Source organism: Homo sapiens, chromosome 15 (assembly GCF_000001405.40).
Source record: "Homo sapiens chromosome 15, GRCh38.p14 Primary Assembly".
Taxonomy (NCBI): Eukaryota; Metazoa; Chordata; class Mammalia; order Primates; family Hominidae; genus Homo; species Homo sapiens.
This window is the reverse complement of record NC_000015.10, coordinates 63,202,931-63,220,526: the sequence shown is the minus strand read 5'-3', so window position 1 is coordinate 63,220,526 and position 17,596 is coordinate 63,202,931. Positions and strand designations below refer to the sequence as shown.

General features: G+C 40.6%; 1 protein-coding gene across 3 annotated transcripts in view, besides 1 other annotated feature; it reads right to left on the bottom strand.

The window, feature by feature from the left end:
• RAB8B (RAB8B, member RAS oncogene family) overlaps positions 1-17,596 on the bottom strand; it is a 78,171-nt gene that overhangs the window by 47,250 nt on the left and 13,325 nt on the right. The window lies entirely within an intron of this gene.
• Positions 9,335-9,900: an enhancer, noted in NCBI's record as "OCT4-NANOG hESC enhancer chr15:63502826-63503391 (GRCh37/hg19 assembly coordinates)". NCBI's record gives its function as "activates a minimal SCP1, AML or CMV promoter by ChIP-STARR-seq in naive H9 embryonic stem cells {active_cell/tissue: H9 hESC(naive)}" and the evidence as "EXISTENCE:reporter gene assay evidence [ECO:0000049][PMID:30033119]".

Here is a 17,596-nt window from a genome sequence, read left to right as displayed (position 1 = left end):
TGTGCAGTGAACACTGTACTCTCTTCTATTCTCATGTTCTTGTCCTACTGTCTTTCCCTCCATTTAAAAAAAAAAAGTTGGTCTGTACACAGTAAATTGACTTCATGACCCAATAAAGGGTTGCAATCCATATTAAAAACACCGGCCTAAAGAACATTCTAGAATAATTTTCTTAAATTATTAAGTACAAATGACAAAACAGTACTAAGCATACATAAAGTAGATGTCTTCATTTTAGAATGAAGAAAAGGCAACAATGCAGTCTCTTCTAGAGAAATGAAATAGAACGAAAGGTTCTGCTACCATTGTCTCAATTCTAACCACGTTAACTTAGACAGGTTTAGGGGTTCGGGTGATTTTTAAAAATTCAACACACTGAAATAAATAGCAATTTTGTAATTATATTAAAAGGCCTGATATAAGGGCTAACACTGAAGTGGGGGGAAATAATTGGATATTTCATATTGGTTAGAAAGTCTTACTTTCTTCAGAAACCATAGTTTTCTTAACACTTGGACAACAATCACAAAACCAAATGTTGTGGATGTCTCTACGTTGTGTGGGAACTTCTACCATTGTTCCAACAACTAGAATGGCTTCCAGAGTCCATGTAGAAAGAGTAGAAAGCAGAAAACCAAAAAAGAAGAGAGATAATAGACTCATTACCCAAGAGACCCTCTCAAAAACACAGCCAGTTAAGCCAGCAGTGGAAGCCTTCCATCAATATAGGCTCAATAGTAAAAGACCCAGTTTTCTTTCATGGAAAAAAAGGGATCTGTCTGATCAAATACAGCCTCCATAGAATTGGTTTTTCTAAAAAATGAGACAAGTCTTCAGTGGCAAACTGCCCCACAGCAGTGGCTTTCTGCCTTTTTTAACCCACTGGTAAGAAATAATTTTTATATAACAACACATTCCACATATATACATACTTACATAACTGAAACAAAAGTTTTATGAAATAGCACTTGACCCTTACTCCTTGTTACTCTTACATGTGCAGTGGACTCTGTGTTCTCTTATCTGTTGTCATGTTCTTGTCTGTTCTCTTTCCCTCCATTTAAAAAAAAAAAAAAAAGTTGGTCTGGACACAGTAAATTGACTTCATGACCCAGTAATGGGTTGCAACCCATATTGAAAACATTGGCTTAAAGAACATCCTGGAAGTCAAGTAAAGGTCACATTCTCTCTCTCGATCTCTTTCTCTCTTTCTTTCTTTTTTTTTTTTTTTGATGGGAGTCTCGCTCCTTTGCCAGGCTGGAGTGCAGTGGCGTGATCTCAGCTCACTACAATCTCTGCCTCCCAAGTTCAAGCAATTCCCCTGCCTCAGCCTCCTGAGTAACTGGGACTACAGGCGCGTGCCACCACCCCGGCTAAATTTTTGTATTTTAGTGGAGACGGGGTTTCACCGTGTTGGCCAGGATGGCCTCGACCTTCTGACCTCGTGATCTACCCACCTCAGTCTCCCGGCACCTGGTGATCTCTTTCCTTCTAAAAAAAAAAAAAAAAAAAAAAAAAAAAATCCACTGCTGGAAGAAAAGATCATTTTAGCTTCACTTTTTAGTGAGAGAGAGAAAAATGACAACTTCAGGGTCTTGTATATAGCTGCCCCTAAAATATTTGTTAAACTTAAGAGGCTAAAGTGTTTTTTTTTCTTCCTATTTTGTGAGTAAAGTAACATATTAACAAGCAGGGAGGCTAAGATTTAAAGGAAAAAAGGAGAATTCCAATAATGGAAATACTGCTTGAGCAACATGCCCAATATTTTGAATATGACATTGCCGGGAATTCCTGTATCACCTGAGATACTTTGATTTATCAGCCTAAGGCCAAGAAACAAAAGAGAGAAACGCCCATCACAAAAGGCCAGAAGAGTTCAGTAGTGTGGTAACTGACATCATTTCAAATGAATGAAGTGGGACTATGCCCTTTAAATGAGGAAATAATTGCCTGCAAAATAAATGACTCCAGCTTAAAACAATCCAGAATGTCTAAAGCACAAACTCTTAGAACAAAATGCAGCCAAACAAAATGAGCTTCAGATTAGATAACCCCGTATAGTGGAGTCCAACGATATTCTTCAAGATACTCTCCTGAGATCCCTGCTCAGCAGATAATGATGCTGACAGCTATAATGGGATAGGCTATCATTAATAAAAATAGCTAGCACTTCTTAAGGACCCACTTAAGGCCAGGCACTGTGATAGGTACTGAATATTCCTTATCACTATTCTCATAACAAGTCTGCAAGGGGGCTTTAATCCCCATTTAACGTAAGAGGAAACAGAGGTCCAGATAAGTAACTTGCTTATACTTGTAGAAAGTGATAAAACTGGGATAATGAACTCAACTGTTATATTTTAAACCTTCACCTCCCATTGGTGCATTTCTTTTGCCAACATAAGGGTAGAAGCATAAAAAAAAAAGAACAGATAACCACATGTACAACATACATGGAGCAATAGGAAGGAAGTGAGGAAGGGGAAAAAAGGCAAAAAGGAACTGGTCCTTTTAAATAAGAAAGACATTATTTCAGAAAATGGCAGCTTCGCTTAGTTTGGAACCTAAGCTTTAGCTCTATAGTTCTAAGTGTCTATTTTAACAGCAGTTATTACTATGTGAGCTCTGTACTCTCAATCTAGGGAAAAGAATCTTGCCACTAGAAGAATAATTTTAAAGTGAGAGTCTGCTTTTGATACAAATATTTGATATAGATACTAAGTGGAATAAACATAGCGATCTACCCTTCTCTCTCCCGAAAAACTGTCTTTATCACGTTTTACTTTAAATTGTTTAGATTTTCCTCAAATTAAAAAGACAAGCTAAAGGTAATAAAATATTATTAAAGGCAATGCTTTAATTATACAGCATGGAAACCACTCATTTGCACAATGAGCATTTTATAGCTGAATGAAACTCTTCTCAAGCTTGGGGAAAACACTCAGAGGTATTCAAAATAATTAGTCCTTTGATCCTTCATTTGGTTTCAAATGGCCATAAGTGACTCTCCAAACTTGGTCAAGGATCTGGAGTTATTATACACAGTACCACCCAACAATCGTCTTGGTTAAGGCTTTCTCACTGACCCAAAAACATGGCACATGGTGAAAAACATTTTCCTTAAATGTCTAAATTGCTGCTGGAATAAATACTAGAAATGATTAGAAAGTTCCAATGGAAAAACCCCATATTCCATTCAATATTTTTAAATGTAAAGGACGTTTATTTTTGCATCTTTTACACAAAAAGAAAGTAATTATATAGAACAATCCTAACTCCATTACGCTTATTCCTCAAACCATTAGGCCCTCGTATGTACCATCTTTTCATTAGTCTCTTCGAAGTACATTTGAATTCCTTTTATCTGACTAATCATACATTAATCATATATGATTTATCTAATGAGATATCTGATTATTCTTTCTAAAGATGAAGGAAACTACCATGAGCTCAGAGGATATAAGGAAATGAAATGAAAGAAAATTAGATTCAGTGGAACTAAGAGAAACATAGATGTAATCAACCCATGTGCATCTAGTCAGAGGCCAACTTCTCTCTAGCAAAAGTCCCCCAGTGTGTTAGCAACAGAGACTACTGCACTGATACCACTTTATGACTAAAAAAGGAGGAATACTTTACAAGTCAAAACTTTTTTTTTTTTTTTTTTGAGACAGAGTCTCACTCTGTCACCCAGGCTGGAGTGCAGCGGCATGATCTCAGCTCACTGCAACCTCTGCCTCCCAGGTTCAAGCGATTCTCCTGTCTCAGCCTCCCAAAGAGCTGGGACTACAGGTGCACACCACCATGCCCGACTAATTTTTGTATTTTTAGTAGAGACAGGGTTTCATCATATTGGCCAGGCTGGTCTCGAACTCCTGCCTTGTGATCTGCCCGCCTTGGCCTCCCAAAGTGCTGGGATTACAGGCGTGAGCCACCGAGACAAGCCACAAGTCAGAACTTTTAAATCAGTGGTACTGAACATTTAAAAGTTGGATTGAGGCCAGGCACAGTGGCTCACGCCTGTAATCCCAGCACTTTGGCAGGCCAAGGCAGGTGGACTGCTCGAGCTCACGAGTTCAAGACCAACCTGGACAACATGGTGAAACCCCAGTTCTACTAAAATACAAAAAATTAGCCGGGTGTTATGGTGTGCGCCTGTAGTCCCAGATACTTGGGAGGTTGAGGCAGGAGAATTGCATGAAACCAGGAGGCGGAGGTTGCAGTGAGCCAAGATTGTGCCGCTGCACTCCAGTGGGGGAGACAGAGCAAGACTCTGTCTCCAAAAAAAAAAATAATAATTAATTAATTAATTAATTAATTAATTAAAGTAAAAGTTGGATTGAAACATTTATATGGATGTTAAAAGAGAGGAGAAATCACAGTAGATAATATATATGAAAAATTATAGAGAAGAAAAACACATCATATGGTGCTAAGATGCTAATTATGGACTCTTGAATAGGGTAATTTTCTTTAATTTTTCTTTTTTTTGAGACGGTCTCATTCTGCTGCCCAGACTGGAGTGCAGTGACACAAACAAGGCTCACTGCAGCCTCAACCTCCTGGGTTCAAGTGATCCTCCCACCTCAGCCGCCAGAGTAGCTGGGACCACAGGTGCATGTCACCACACCTGGCTAATTTTTAAAATTTTTTATGGAGATGGGGTCTCGCCATGTTGCCCAGGCTGGTCTCAAACACCTGGGGTCAAACAATCATCCTGCCTCAGCCTCCCAAAGTGCTGGAATTATAGGCATGAGCAGCTATGCCTGGTCTATAGGGTAAAATTTTAAGGGCAAATATAATATAGTTGCTCTTTCTTCTGAATCTTCTGCCAATTCCCACTTCAACTTTCAGTAAAAAGTAAAGGGTTGTGAAAATAAGACTGAGTTGACAATTCTAAAACTGACTAAAATAAAAATGAAAATTATGAGGACCTCAGGCATTTTTCAAAGTAAACTAGAAAGAACTTTCCTTTTGATAGTCCATTTACAAGTAGCGAAGTCTATCATAGGGATTCTCAGTTCCTTCGAAGACTAAAAAGAAATACAGTATGACAAAGATACAGCGTTAACTGGTTAAATTTTTATATAAGTATAAAAATTACTTCCTACTCTTTACAAACTTGTTATTGACCAGAAGGCAGTTTTTCATTTAATATCTTTGAAAAATCAGCAGTTAAGTAAAAAATATCAAGACAATTTTTGGAACACTTTAATCAGAAGTATGGAAGTATACAAATGAATTTTAAAATAAAATCAATGCATCAATGAATAAGATCTAATATGAAAGTACTCACATTTCACGATGAGACTATGATCAGATGCAGGAAAGGCAAAAGTCTAAATCCCAGTAGAGAAAGGATGGGTATGAGGGACAAAGGGCCCTTGGACTGAATTATCAAGAGTGATGTCTTCAGCTTCCAGATTCCCAGAGCCCCTGTTGGTAGTTATTGACAAATATGGTATTTGGTCACAAATAGCAACAGCAGGTATCTCTTGTGTCTGGGATAGGAAAGGAGATCAGAAACCTGTGAAGATTGCAAACTCCTGACTCCATAAGAATGAGGTGGAAGGTCTGAGGACAGAGAGCTGTAGATGCCCTACTCAATTTTAAAGACCTTAGTAAACAAGAAAAAATAAAATTAAATACTATATGTGTATTCCATGGGAAATTATTTTTATTGTTTCTTTTGGTGGGGAGAACACCACTATATGCAGTTTTAGGAGGAAAAGATAAGAAACATGAATTCTCAGAAGCAGGTTTCAACCCCCACAGCTCAAGGGTTACATTAAAAAAGAGAAATGAACTGCTGCTGAAATTAGAAGCAAGAGAACCCACTCTGGTCAAATCCACTGTCAGATGGAAAAGCTTTGTGAAGTGTTAGAAACGGTTGGGCATGGTGGCTCACGCCTGTAATCCTAGCACTTTGAGAAGCCGTGGTGGATGGCTTCTCGGCCTTTTGGCTAAGATCAAGTGAGAAGCCGTGGTGGGCAGATCACCTGAGGACAAGAGTTCAAGACCAGCCTGGCCAACATGGTGAAACCCCGTCTCTACTGAAAATACAAAAATTAGCCAGGCACGGTGGCACCTGCCTGTAATCCCAGCTACCCGGGAGGCTGAGGCAGGAGAATCGCTGCAACCTGGGAGGCGGAGGCTACAGTGAGCCGAGATCATGGCCCTGCACTCCAGCATGGGTAGCAGAGTGAGACTCCGTCTCAAAAAAAAAAAAAAAAAAAAAAAGAAAGAAACTGAGCGTACCCATTTCCAAGGAATTCAACACTGTTGAATTCTTTTTCAAACTTAAACTCCTAGATAACTACATTAGATCCTTTACCTCCCACACTGTAATACCTTGAAAGGAATAGCCAATCAGAATTTTTAAACACTGGAAATTTCTACATTTTACACGTTGGTATAGCAAACGAAACCACTTTTTTTTTTCCCCTGAGACAGAGTCTCGCTCTGTCACCCAGGCTGGAGTGCAGTGGCACAATCTTGGCTCACCACAACCTCCACCTCCCAGGTTCAAGCAATTCTCCTGCCTCAGCCTCCCGAGTAGCTGGGATTACAGACACATGCCACAACGCCCAGCTAATTTTTGTATTTTTATTAGAGTAGGGGTTTCACCATGTTGCCCAGGCTGGTCTCGAACTCCTGACCTCGTGATCTGCCCGCCTCTGCCTCCCAAAGTGCTGGGATTACAGGCGTGAGCCACCGCGCCTGGCCTGGAAACCACTTTTGTTTTGTTCTTGAGAGCAGATATAAGCGATGGAAATAAATGGAAAATGTAGAAAATTATTTGGAAGACAGAATTTACTCATTTTAAGTTTCAACACTCATATAAACAAAAGCAGTTGGAAAGAACTCATGTAGGAATTCCCCATAACCAGAAGGAAGATTGTTTTGTTTTGGGTTTTTTTTTAAGTGTCCATATTACAACTTAAATTTACAACTTAAGCTTTTATCATTATTTTAAAAATGAAAGTGGTATCATCTATAGTCATAAATGCACAGCCTACTGAATTTAAAAGAGGAGCACATTCCAGTTTTAGGCATAAGTACAGTAACTAAATAGACTTGAACAAGAAATTCTTTATCCAGTACAGATTTTCTGAGCATTTGGCACTATACAGAAAACCATGATTTACTAAGCACCAATCAACTGACCTAAGTTACATTATAACAGCACCCCTAGCCTATCCTCTGCTTTGCCCCACGTCCCCCTCCAAACATATCCACCTGAAATAGTACCTAGAAGACATTTGTCCTTATCAGATTTTATTTGAAGGAAGAAGTCAGAAAGGAATTATCTAGTAATAACTTAGTTACAATTTCAGGTACCAGCAGAGAAGCCAAAAAATGAAAATTAATCTGTGTACAAGCTGAAATTGTCCCTAGTTCTGAAAAGAGAATAGTCAGAACCTAGAGAGTTCCTTTTTGATTCCAAAGAGGGAAGGAAGGGAGGAAAGAAGGGAGGAAGAGAGGGAGGGAGGGAAGACTTAGACACTAAAACATGCTTTAGGCCTCTGCCAAAGCCTTATAAAAAACTAAGACAAACCTCATAGTTAACTACTGACAGTGGCATGTGCTTTTAATTCTATTCTGAAAATGTGCATGCAAGCAAGGCAAAATTATATCATGGTTCTCATTTACATTTATCATTGCCTCACTATGGGAATATATAATCACATACGGACATCTGTGGATGATTATATACAAAGACGGGCCTTTCAAGATCAAGTTTAAGAGTTCTAGTGTCTTTCTATTCATACACCAATCATGAAGCAATTCACTAGAGCTGTTTTAGGGAATACGGAAATATTTGGGGAAGTCCAGAGGCTGTCTCCTCATCACGTACAAAAATTTTGTAATAATTTCCTTCACCTCCCCCTCTTCCCACAGTAAAGCTCAGCAGTGACATTTCCTTTCCCCTATCTAGTTATATGAATCACTTTTTACTTTACTACATTTTTAGGGATTCTGTGTTTTTACCTTGAATCAAAAGTGATGCCAAATTATCACTAATACATCTTGACTCTTCTGATCCCCAATCAGAATTTCCCCTCCCCTAATTGAAAGTGACATTTTCTAGTACAAAAATTTTCACGCAAAATGAGGTTAGACTAGAATAAATATGAGTCAGATGAACATGAACTGAAACAGAAAAATGTGCTGGTGCAATCCCTCCCTTAACAACTTTATCTCACAACCCCGGATGTTTAAAAATGATAAACATGGTGACCTATCCAAGAACAACCTGGATATCAAGTTTTCGTTGTTTGTTTTTTGCTGCGAACTAGTTCAGCATGCTCTGCTTGTTATACATCAAGGATGCCTCTACATCAATTCAGGAGGAAAGACTACAACGCACTGTGTAGGAAGATGGGGCTTTTAGGCCAGGCACTGTGGCTCATGACTGTAATCCCAGCGCTTTGGGATGCTGAGGCAGGAGGACTGCTTGAGCCCAGGAGTTCAAGACCAGCCCAGGCAACATAGAGAGACTCCCTCTCTTAAAAAATTAAATAAAATGAGCTGGGCATGGTGGGACACACCTGTAGTCCCAGCTACTTGGGAAGCTGAGGTGGGAGAATCACCTGAGCCTGGGAAGTTGAGGCTGCAGTGAGCCATGATTGCGCCACTGCACTCCAGCCTAAATGACAGAGTGAAATCCTGTCTCTAAAAAAAAGAAAAAAACACAGGGCTCTTCATGTTGTTGAATGATCAACTAGGGGCAACTCCCCTTCAGCCATGACAGTTATGAGATGTCTATCAATATCTATCATGACCAGTCACTAGTTGCAATTGACTAGTGTCAGTCAATATATGACAATACTAAGAAAAATGCGGTGCTTGGCAAAAAAAATCCACCAAAACTATGACTGGATTTAACTGGAAGTTAATTTTGAACTCTACCACACTACCTGTACTTTTAAGAAGATACATTTAAAGAAAGTAAATACTAAACACAGTATCAGGAAGCTTTATAAAGGAAATATCAAACTATGGCTCTCTCTAAAGTCTTGCGTAAACATTCTTTCCTATTCTAATGGCCATCAAAGTTAAGGATATAATAGGGTTAAACCAGAATCTCAATGAGAGAGATGGTGAACACATATAGTCTGGGGTAGAACACAGTTATAATATCACAGTACGTGAGACAATAATCTCCCAACCTCCCAACTCAGAAAGGGACAAGAATTCACTCAATCTGGCTGTAGTTTCAGGAACATCTGTGAAGCATTTCCCAGTATTCTCAGTAATTTCTATACTTCCGATCTACAAAGGATATTCTACTATTTGTTCTCTTGTCAATAAAGAAAAGTTAGGCCAAAAGAGATTTTAACACAAAACACTTAAGCTAATAAAAGCAGAGCTGGTCTTTCACTTTTATTTGGGTTTTTGCAGATAAGACGCACATCTCAAACCAACCATAGGATCCTTCCCCAAATTCTTTCCCTGCTGTTTATCTTTTGATATTGCAAGAGCTCTGATGGGTCCCTTGTGTAGTGGTATCTTTTGGCAAAAGTGGTTTCCTCAGGTTGAGTTGAGCTCTGGCTCTTCAAAGTTAATTAGAACCACACCACACAGTATCTCGAGTATGCTGATAGAAAATGCCTGTGGTGTGATGTTAACGAGAGACAATTAAATTTCTCTTTGTTCTCTTCAGAAGACAATTACATTTCTCATCTTTTATTTGCATACCAGCCACTCAATAAAAACCAGCCTACAGCCTAGTAAAAAAAAGGCCAAGAATGGGCCTTGCCCACAGCTGCAGCTACCACCCACTACTTGCCCACCCCTTTCTCAATAGAAAAGACAGCGGGAGGCCACGGCACATACTTCCTACTCCTTTCAGGGTCTTCCATGTCAGAAACCCTGCCACGTTCCCCACATCCAAATTATCTCAGTGCTTTGGTGTGAAAAAATTGAAAAATGATCCACAGAAGGTTGGGAAGCTGGAGGTGGAAGGTACCTGGACAGCACCAAAGGTTCCCTTGTGCAGACAGCAGGAAGCCTAGCTGTGGCACTACCTATCTCTTACCCAGGTTTGCTTTCACACAATTCAGTCTCAGTAACAAAAGATTTTAGGGGAGAGAGTAGAGGTAGACAAAGCAGGAAGAAAAAAGAAATTCATTGAGGAAACATTTTGTAATCAAGAATGAAAGTAACAGTGCTGTGCACAGCACAAAGATGGCTTTCTCAAAGACACAGAGAAAGCCTCATTGTCTAAATCAGGCCAATGTTCACAGGGCACTGACAGCTCTAGAGAGGGCCAGAGGCAAAGAAACTGTAGCCTCTTACCTGGGGAAAAAGAAGATTTTTAGGGCCTCTTCTGTCAAAATAAAATGAAAATCAATTTTCACAAAAGAAAGCCAATGAAACATGCAACTTCTCCACTTCACCACCACAACTACAGCAGGCCTGAATCCTACTCTGAGATGTCTAGAGTTGCAGTCTAAGATTATTTTATCTTTAAAAGATAAATGGTCATTCTCAGCAAACTAACACAGGAACAGAAAACCAAACACTGCATGTTCTCTCTCATAAGCGGGAGTTCAACAATGAGAACACATGGACACAGGGAGGGGAACATCACACACCGGGGCCTGTTGGGGAGTGGGGGGCAAGGGGAGGCAGAGCATTAGGAGAAATACCTAATGTAGATGACGGGTTGATGGGTACAGCAAACCACCATGGCACATGTATACCTGTGTAACAAACCTGCACATTCTGCACATGTATCCCAGAACTTAAAGTATAATTAAAAAAAAAAAGATAAACGAGCAATCATTCCTAACATGTTTCAGTAAGCAACTATAATTCTAATTTCAGAATCATCAGAAAAAAAGTTCTAAACTGGTACCTTTAAAGGCTCCCTTCCCCAGAAAATGACGGTTTTATTTCATCAAATTATTTCTTTCTTATTTTATTTTATTTTATTTTTTCGCTTTTTGTCTCCCAGGCTGGAGTGCAGTGGTGTGATCTCGGCTCACTGCAACCTCCGCCTCCCGGGTTCAAGCGATTCTCCTGCCTCAGCCTTCCGAGTAGCTGGGATTACAGGTGCCTGCCACTACGCTTGGCTAATTTTTGTATTTTTAGTAGAGACAGGGTTTCACCATGTTGGCCAGTCTGGTCTCAAACTCCTGACTTCAGGTGATCCACCTGCCTCGGCCTCCCAAAGTGCTGGGATTACAAGTGTGAGCCACTGCACCCAGCCTCATCAAAGTATTTCATAATATCATCCTAAAATTTCAGTTCAATGACAATTTTTTCAAGCACCAAATAGGTACAAAGTATGGTATTCGGCAACGCAAAGAACACAAAGACAAAACATGTTTCTGTCCTAAAGGAATTCATCGTGGGTCCCAGCACTTTGGGAGGCCGAGGCAGGTAGATTGCGTGAGCTCAGGAGTTCAAAACCAGCCTGGGCAACATGGCGAAACTCTGTCTCTACTAAAAATACAAAAAATTAGCCGTGTGTGGTGGCGGGCACCTATAATCCCAGCTACTCGGGAGGCTGAGGCAGAATCGCTTGAACCCAGGAGGTGGAGGTTGCAGTGAGCTGAGATTCCATCACTGCAATCCAGCCTGGGCAACAGAGGGAGACTCCCCCTCAAAAAAAAAAAAAAAAATTATCGTGGGAGTGGAGGGTTGGGGAAGCAAAGGAAGACGGTTCTACTTATAGGAACAACATGGTAAGTGCCACATGAAAGATCAAAGTACTACAGAGTACAAAGTCCCACTGAGGAAAGAGCATCTTGGTGGTTGGGTTGGGGGTGAAGAGAGACAATTCTGACATGGCCTCATAAAGAAAGTGACATATGAGGAACATCAGGAAAGACAGATGTCAACAGGCCGAAATGAGGTGTGTTCTTGGAACCTGCCATTCTGGGCAGAGCAGTAGAGCAGTTAATCTTACACTTTTTAATTTTGTGAATTAGTAAAATGTGCAGGCGAGAATAAAAGGTGGTGGTAGTGAGAATAAAAGAAGGTGAAAGCCAAGCATTGTGCATTCCATAAAGTTTGCTTAGGGAGAAAACTTACCTCCCTTAGAGAAAAAAAATAGCAAGAATTCTATTACAATCGTTTTTTCTTTCACAAATGACAGTGAGATAATGACCATCTATTACTACCAGCATTTTATAAGTAAAGAGGCATTTTAATTCCAAAAATGTAAGAAGCACATCAACTCAGAGACTTAAAAATTGTATTTCTTCTCATGTAAGGGCCTCTAAAACCCTTACACTGGCCAGCTGAAAATGTGGCCACAGTCCACCCAGCACAGATGTTGAGGGTCCCTGGGTTAGAGTTTAGGATTCCTGTAAAAAACAGAGAGAGATATAGCTGAAGCCACACTGTAGGGAGTTTGGAATGATAGGCCAACGATGATGTATTCCAGTGGACAAAGTAAAAAATAAGACTTTTAAGGGAGGGATAAGGGATTAATATGATAATCAGAGCTATGCTCTAAAACTAATTTGCTTGAAGTGTACAGAATGGAATTCGGGAAGGACGCTGCCCAAATGAGACTGGAAGTGCTCGGGTCACTTAGAAGGACATGGCAAAGTCCAGGAGAGAGGTATTGAGGGCCTAAATTAGGGTGGCAGAAGAAAGAATGGAAAGGACTTGGCAACAAATTGTACATAAGAACTGAGGAAAAGGGGCCAGGCGCGGTGGCTCACGCCTGTAATCCCAGCACTTTGGAAGGCCGAGGTGGGCAGATCATGAAGTCAGGAGATCGAGACCATCCTGGCCAACATGGTGAAACCCCGTCTCTACTAAAATACCAAAAAAGAAAATTTGCCGGGTGTGGTGGCACGCACCTGTAGTCCCAGCTACTCGAGAGGCTGAGGCAAGGGAATCGCTTGAACCCAGGAGGCGGAGATTGCAGTGAGCCGAGATCACGCCACTGCACTCCAGCCTGGTGACAGAGCAAGATTCCTTCTCCAAAAAAAAACAAAAAAACAAAAAACTAAGGAAAAGGAAAGAGTCAAAGATGACTTCCAGGTTTTGAGCCTAAATACCTGAAAAAAAATATGGGTTAAAAAATATATGACAATTCATGAAAGGGTACTAGATAAAAAGAGGAAATGAACTGACCGTGGGGTGGGATGCACACAGAGGAGTCTGAGAGAGGCCGGGAAGAGGAGGAGACAGAAAGTTGGGTAGTCACACATGGAAGGGGGCAAGCTTAGCTCCATCACCACGTGGGAGCTTTCGAGCACTTATACGTGCCCCGCACTGCGCTAGGAGCTAGGGATATGATGAGAACCATAATGGATCTGATATGTGCACTCGCGGAGTTTACAATCTGGCAGGAGATATGGACATCAATGCAATAATCACACAGATGGACGTAATTACAAATTTTATTGAAGTGTCCAATTTCTAAAAGAGAAAAAAAGGAAAACCTAGAGAACAGACACTTGGAAGTGACTTCCATTAAAAGGCAAAATGAGACTACCATGGAAAGGGGAGGAGCGGTTAGAAGAGTAGGAAGTATGCTGGAGCAGACAATTCCTGGAAGCCAAAGGAGGAATGAGTTTCAAGGAGCAGATAATAAACAGTGTGAAATGCTGATGAGAGGCCAAGGATGACAAAGACTGAGAAAGGACCACTGGACAGTTGTTAACAAGGAGGTCATGATGACCTGAGTGCAGTTTTGAAGGGGGCAGAGCAGGACTTTGAGGGGTTAATGAGTGAGGAGATGGGGGACAAGACTTCTCTCTTTCAAGAAATTAAGGAACAAGGAAGGAGAAAGGGGAGATGGGTGACTTGAGAAAGTAGCGAGTTTATGGGATATCCTATGTAGAATGAGGATGATTTCAATAGGGTTGAAAGTAGAGCAGAAAGGGCAAGCAGAGAACTAGACAGAGAAGACAGATGACGGAGGAGAGGAGGGGAATGACTGCCAGGGCCAGGTCCCAGGAGAGTGGGAAGGTATTATTACATCAAGCATACCAACCAACAGGTTAGCACTGGCTCCTTGGAGAGAAGGGCGAAAGAAACAAGGAAAGGTGAAAATATCCAGAAATTAGAGATGATAAGAAAGGATGCTGGGGAAGCACTTGTTAGGGAGTAGGGGATCTTTTCAGGAAAATGAGGGGGAGAGGGGAGTCTTCTGCTATGATTTCAGTGAGACACCAACAGCTGGGACTTAAGGAGATTGCTATGGGCTATCAACTGCACAGTCATTAAAAAAAAACATTTACTCAGGGCCTTCTCTGCCCCAGGAACTGTACATATTTATGTGCGGCATAAATGAAGTTAGCAGGCATTTATTACTATAGATAAATACTCTGGGTAAAAAAAGAAATGGGCTGATTTTATTGCTCTCACATCTAGAAAAAGACCATAGGCAATAATAGGTGATAATTACACATCCTTTGAAACGTATGTATGTGCTAATAAAAGAGATATCACTACTGCAGGGACCCAAGAGTCATTCCTCAGAAGGAAATACATGGTGTTAGTTCATTTATTCCACAAACAGATACTGTGTGCCTAAGCACCAGATAAAAGAGCTCTGAAGAGGCCAGTTACAGTTCCTGTCCTCCAGGAGCTTCCAATTGGATATGACAGGCCCTGAAAGCTCCTGCTCTTCCACCATGGAGGCACATTTCACTGCTTTTACTGCCCATGAACTGAACTCCCCATCACAAATCTGTATGCTTTATTAGAAAGTAAAACTCTTACCATCTGAACATTTTTTACAATATGCTTTTCTGGGTACATCAAAATTTTAGGGAACAGACTGGACCTGAGAGTTTCACGGCATGGTTTTTCAGTGCCATTAAACTTCAAAATGAACTCTCTTAAAACTGCTTTTAAAATTATAAATCAAATGTGTCACTTCTTATGAACCTGACACGTTTTCAGAGCAAAGAAATAAAATGTGTCACTTCCCTGAACATAACTATGGTCAGAATAAAATCTATCCTCCTTACACTGCCTTGAGGCCCTTCATGCCCTTGTCCCTACCACATATCATCCCGTGTGTGTGTGAGTATTTTTTTTGTTTGTTTTTTGATACAGGGTCTCACTTTGTTGCCCAGGCTGGAGTACAATGGTGCCATCATAGCTCACTGTAGCCTCAACCTCCTGGGCTCAAGTAATCCTCTCACTTCAGCCTCCTGAATAGCTGGGACTACAGGCGCATGATCACACCTGGCTAATTTTTAAATTGTATTTATTTTTATTTATTTATTTGTTTATTTATTTACTTACAGATGGAGTCTCACTCTGTCACCCAGGCTGGAGTGCAATGGCGCAATCTCGGCTCACTGCAACTTCCATCTCCTGGGTTCAAGCGATTCTCCCGCCTCAGCCTCCCAAGTAGCTGGGATTACAGGTGCCCACCATCATGCCCTGCTAACTTTTTTTGTATTTTTGTAGAGACGGGGTTTCACCATGTTGACCAGGCTGGTCTCAAACTCCTGATCTCAGGTGATCCGCCTGCCTCGGCCTCCCAAAGTGCTGGGAATACAGGCATGAGCCACCATACCCAGCCAATTTTCTTATTTTTTTTTTTGTAGAGATGAGGTCTCCCTATGCTGCCTAGGCTGGTCTCTAACTCCTGAGCTCAAGCAAGCCTCCTGCCTCGGCCTCCCAAAGTGCTTGGATTATAGGCATGTGCCACTGCACCCAGCCCTCATCCTTGTATAAGAAAAAGTGTTAAATGGAGGAAATCACACTTTATGCTCACTTATGCACATTTCTTTTCCTAAATCTCTTGAGACAGTTTAAAGATGAAAAAGAAACTAACAGCATGTATTGATACTGTAAAAGTATGATTAATGACTTTTTTGAGATGGAAGCAGCATCTTGATTATTAGGGAAAGAAAAACCTATTCACTAACTTTCAAGTTGGGTAATTTACTCCATTAAAATCAGCTACCATGTTTTAAGATTTAATGTATTGTTCGAATTCATGTATGCAAACAAACTCATTAAAATTCAGGAGATTTCACTCAGAAACTCACTGTACTTAAAATTCAGGGCCCTAACAGAGGGTATTGAACTAGAATATTTAAATGGAAACATTTGTCCCTTCTAGACAGGGTGTTCTACGCTGTTTTTTGTTTATGTTTTCACCCAAAGTAGGAATTCAAGATGCCCTGAGAGTCTGCAGCAACTGGAAGAACTTGCTCCTGATATTACACTAACATGCTGCACCCGAGGTCAAGGGCTGATTTTTCAATGCCTCCTTACACCCGCTGATGTAGGGGATAATCACCATCACTCTGGGGATGAATTTAAAGACAAATATTTCCAATTCTAGCTTTGTAAAATGCACGTAGTCCTAAATTTTATTAAGAAGTAATTTTCTAGAAAACAGACATACATTCCTTTAAGTAACCAAAATGAATGCTCCCGCTCATATTTTGTATGGAACTCATGCTAACAGGTGCTTCTTATGTTACCTGGATTAAAAAAAAAACACCTCACCTTATACTGAGCCTGACTGCGTGATAGGCCCTGTGCTTCATTAATGCTTTACCACAGCACTTCATTCAACCACCCCCCGACAACCCTCTGCAGAGAAGAGGAACTAAGGGACCACGCAGGTTAAAAACCTCATTGAGGTCACCCAGCTGGTAAGGAGTGACACCCGCAGTTCACCCTGCACCATACCACCTCCCTGAAGATAATGAATCAGAAAAAATACTTCTGAGTCACTGTTGGGATTGAAAAAAAACATGGGGTTTAAAAATGGATTCTGGAACTAGACTGCCGTTTACTAGCTATATGACCTTGAAAGGTTATTCAAACATTCTGTGCCTCAATTACCTCATTTGGAAAATAGGGATAACGGAACACAACTAAGACGCGTTGCAAGAATTAAACGGGTCAATCCATGAATAATGTTAATGCCTAGAATTTGGTATACAGTAAGCACTCAATAAATGTTAGCTCTTATTAAAATCAAGTGCTGTAACAATGAAGCCCCCAAAGATTACCAAGGTTCTTACAGCTGTCTGGACCTACCCTCAGTGAACTAGGGGCTGATTTCATTCATATGCATTTACACACTTTTTGTGTGTGCTTTCCATGTGACAAACACATCATACACACAGTAACAGCATTCAATTCTCAAAAAATAAAAGTCCTACAAGGGAGTTTCTATCCTTCTTATAATAAAGAAAATGACTGAATAATTTGCCCAAGGCTTTCAAACAGGAATTTGAACTTTGGAGTTTCTATCTCAAAAGCCCAAGTTCTTTTAGCTACACCATTATTTTGAGTTCTTATGTCTACTTTTTCCATTTTGTCAGTAAGTCCATTGGTTATAACTTAGGATCAGAGTTTGGACAGAGACTTTACAGTGTATCTAGGACAACATTTCCTTTTCATACACGAAGAAATAAAAGCCCAGGAAGTTTACTGTTGACATGTCTGAAGTCACATAATGAATGTCTTCCATAGTCCCACACTGCCAATTTTTCCTCTCCGATGTTGGTGGCCTGCCTCCAAGAGGCCCTCAGCCCTGCTCCTAATCTTTTTGGGCCATAGAGAAACCAATGACCACTGCATAAATCAAGACTATAAAGGCTAAGAGAGGGCTCAGAGACTTCCCTATGAGGCAAGCTCATGC